This window comes from Homo sapiens, chromosome 11, assembly GCF_000001405.40.
Source record: "Homo sapiens chromosome 11, GRCh38.p14 Primary Assembly".
NCBI lineage: Eukaryota > Metazoa > Chordata > Mammalia > Primates > Hominidae > Homo > Homo sapiens.
The window spans coordinates 57,295,374-57,299,641 of record NC_000011.10 but is presented as its reverse complement, the minus strand read 5'-3'; the positions used below and the strand labels follow the sequence as shown (position 1 = coordinate 57,299,641).

Here is a 4,268-nt window from a genome sequence, read left to right as displayed (position 1 = left end):
TTGGTGCTGTCCAGGTGGTGGTACGTGGTCATGGCTGCCCATTTCCTCTTCCAAGGCTGTGGTTGGAAAATGCTGATTCCCACTCTGCCCCACCAGGGGCTCACTCTGACACTGGATGTGTCACTTCCCTTTTACTGACATCACTGAGAAGGGTATATTGTTTACAATAGGCTGATCAAGAATTCAGACACCCTCTAAATCTTAGTAGTTTAACACAAAAAGGTTTATATTTCATCCATGACACAGTCCAGGGTGGGCTGGTGATAGGGGCACTCTGCACCTTGATGTCATTGAGAGCCCAGGCTCTTTCCCTGTTGTGGCTCGGCCATCTTCAGGGCTTGGAGTCTTCTGCCCCATCTAATGGAGAAAGGGGGAATCTTTTGTGGGAGATACTCTGAGTCCATTCAGGCTGCTGTAACAAAATACTGTAGACTTGGATGGCTTATAAACAACAGACGCCTATTTCTCACAGTTCTGGAGGCCAGGAAGCTGAAGAACAAAGCACTGACAGATTCAGTGTCTGGTGAGGACCTGTTTTGTGGTTTATAGAGAGTGCCTTCTTGCTGCATCCTCGCATACATGGTAGAAGGGACAAGGGAGCTCTCTGGGGCCTCTCTTATAAGGGCACTAATCCTATTTGTGAGACCTGCAACCTCATGAACTAAACATTTCCCTTTTTTTTTTTTTTTTTGAGATGGAGTCTTGCTCTGTCACCAAGGCTGGAGTGTGGTGGTGCAATCTCAGCTCAGTGCAACCTCCGCCTCCCAGGTTCAAGTGATTTTCCTGCCTCAGTCTCCCCAGTAGCTGGGATTACAGGCACTCACCACCACACCTGGCTAATTTTTGTATTTTTAATAGAGATGTGGTTTCACCATCTTGGCCAGGTTGATCTTGAACTCCTGACCTCAAGTGATCTGCCCACCTTGGCCTCCCAAAGTGCTGGCATTAAGGCCTGAGCCACCTTGCTCTGGAAAGTCCTCTCTTCCTAGTAGCACCTTAGAGGTTAGGAATTTAACAACATTTAACAAATGTTGGGCACAAACATTCAGACCATGGCTTTCTACCCATCTAAAGTCTCATCTTAATATTATCTAATGCTGGGCGTGGTGGCTCACACCTGTAATCCTAGCACTTTGAGAGGCCAAGGTGGGCGGATCACTTGAGATCAGTAGTTCAAGGCCAGCCTGGCCAACAGGGTAAAACCCCATCTCTACTAAAAATACAGAAAAAAAAAAAAAGGTATGGTGGTGTGTGCCTGTAGTCCAGCTACTCAGAAGGCTGAGGCACGAGAATCGCTGGAACCTTGGAGGTGGAGGTTATAGTGAGCTGAGATTGCACCACTGCACTATAGCCTGGGTGACAGTGAGACTCTGTCTCAAAAAAAAAAAAGATACGGATGAGACTCAAAGCATAATTCATAATTCATCCTGAGGCAAAATGTTCTCCAGCTGTGAACATGTGGAATATGTGCTTCCAAAATACACTGGTGGGGTAGGTAGGCATAGGATAGACATTCTCATTCCAAAAGGGAGAAATAGGAAGGAAGGGGTAACAGATCTCTAGCAAGTACAAAACTTTAAGGCTGGAAAATAGTCATCTTTGACTTGAGGCTCTGCCCTCTTAAGTCCACAGGGGTAGAGAAGTCCTGTCTTCTGGACCCACTGGGGTGGTGGTCCTGCCTCCATGGCAGTTCTGTCTTGTGGTCCCATTTTCTGTGGAGGCTCTGTGCCTAGGTTGTACACCTGTAGCTATCTTGGGCTGGGATCACACACTGGTGGCCCCACTGGTCTGGGTTGTAAGGTAGCCCTACTTCCGTGGCTCCCCTGGGCATTGCCCTTGTTGGGGCTTTCTACAGTGGCCCTGCCCGTGCGGTGGTTCTTTGGCTGGCCCCTTACACTCTCTGGAGCATCTTTGAAATCTAGGTGAAGGTAACCATGTCCCCACAGTACATATACTCTGTGTACTGGCTGAGATGGCATCATGCGGATGCCACCAAAATTTACCACCTATGTCCTTTAGGGGTGGGAGGAGGGTGGGCACTGGAGCTGAACTTGGGATGGTGAGGAGGACTACACTGAAATGCAGGGAGCAGAGCCTTGAGGTGATGCTGGACAGTGAGCACTGAGGGCCTGTGGCTCCTCTTTTGAAATCATTCTGTTCCTTAGGCCCTGGCACTCTAGGCCTGTGATGGAAGGGGCAGCCCCTATAATCTCTGAAATGCCTTTGGGGCCATTTTTCTATTGTCTTGAAGAATAGTGCGTGTCTGATTCATGCTAGTCTCTGTAGCAAATGCCTGAGCACACTTTCTCATTTTTTACAATATAAATAGGCTGAGACGTTTCCTAATCTTTAAGTTCTGCTTCTCTTTTGATGAAAAATTCCATCTTTAGAGTTTGTCTTCTTGCATTTTACTATAAGCATTTAAGAAGAGCCAAGTTGCACCTTCATTACTTTGCTTGGAAATTTCTTCAGCCAAATATCCTATTTCATTGCTCACAAGTTCTACCTTCCACAAAACAGTAGGACATGAACAAAAGCCAAATGTCTTTGCCACTTTTTAACAAGGGTCATCTCTCCTCCAGTTTTCAATAAGATGTTCCTCATTTTCATCTAAGACCCCATCAGAACAGCCCTTACCATCTGTATTTCTACCAACATTCTGATGACCACTTGGGTGATCTCTAAGAAGATTGAGGCTCTCTCTATAGCACCCCTTTTCTGAGACCTTACCAGAATCACCTTTAATAGTCTGTTTATGGCAATGTAGATTTTTTTTTCTAGCATTCATCTCAAAATTCTTCCAGCTTCTACTCATTACCCAATTCCAAAGCCTCTTCCACATTTTAGATATTTGTTATAGCCGCACCCTACTTCTTGATACACATTTTCTGTTGTTAGTCCATTTGGGCTGCTCTAACAAACTACCTTAAACTGGGTGGCTTACAAACAACAAACATTTATTTCCCATAGTTCTGGAGGCTTGGAGGTCCAAAATCAAGGCACTGGCAGATTTGATGTCTGGTGAGGGCCTTTTCATATGAACCCATTATATTAGTCTGTTCTCACACTGCTGATAAAGACATACCTGAGACTGAGCAATTTACAAAAGAAAGGTTTGTTGGACTTATAGTTCCATGTGGCTGGGGAGATTTCACAATCATGGCAGAAGGTGAAAGGCATGTCTCACATGGTGCAGACAAGAGAAGAGAATGAGAATCAAGCAAAGCGGGTTTCTCCTTATCAAACCATCAGATCTCGTGAGACTTATTCACTACCACGAGAACTGTATGGGAGAAACTGCCCCCATGATGCAATTACTTCCCACTGAGTCCCTTTCACAACATGTGGGAATTATGGGAGTACAATTCAAGATGAGATTTGGGTGGGGACACAGAGCCAAACCATATCACCCATCCTGTTCATAGATAGTGCCTTCTCACTGTCATATGGTGGAAAGGGCAAGGGAGCTCTCTGGGGTCTCTTTTGTAAGGACACTAATCCCATTCATGAGGGTTCCACCTTCATGACCTAATTACCTCCCAAAAGGCTCCACTTCCTAAACCTATCACCTTAGGGGCTAGGATTTTGGGGAGACACAAACATCCAGACCATAGCAGAGATCCACATTCCACTGGGCAGAATTCAACTCATTACCTCCGCCAACTGCAGGGGAGTGAGAAATGAGGTTTAGCTATGTGGCCAGAGAGAGAGGACCTGACATTGGTAAAAATTTACCCCTCTTGCCAGAGGTTTGCCTTCATTGATATCTAAGGGTCCTTTCAGCCCAGGTATTCTAGAATTTCCCCTAACCTGTGTCATTTCTCACCCAAGCCCATGGCCATTGCCATCCTATTGTCCCTCAGCCTAGTTCTATGTCATCCTGGTTTCCCCCAGACTTGCCAGCCTTTTTCAAGGCCAGCCTTGTCTTTCTCTGAGATTTGGTAAAAGGAGAGCATCCTGGGGGCTTGCCCTGATGGGGGCCTGAACAGGGTCACCAAGTTGTGGCAGGTCAGAGCTACAACTGAACTTAGGAATCATCTCATTTACTAGTGCTTCTTAGCCTTTTGTTTTAATTTTTAATTTTTTTTAGAGATGGCCTCTTGCACTGTCACCCAGGCTGGAGTGCTGTAGCATGATCATGGCTCACTGCAGCAGCCTCAAGCTCCTGGGTTCAAGTGATCCTTGAGCCTCAGCCTCTTGAGTAGCTGGGACTACAGGTATGTGTCACCATGCCCAGCTAAGTTATTATTTTTTTAAATTATCTGTAG

The 4,268-nt window shown here is 46.0% G+C and overlaps 1 annotated feature.

Moving 5' to 3' along the window:
• Positions 3,061 to 3,261: a silencer, noted in NCBI's record as "peak1278 fragment used in MPRA reporter construct". NCBI's record gives its function as "represses an SCP1 promoter by STARR-seq MPRAs in K562 erythroleukemia cells {active_cell/tissue: K562}" and the evidence as "EXISTENCE:reporter gene assay evidence [ECO:0000049][PMID:32103011]".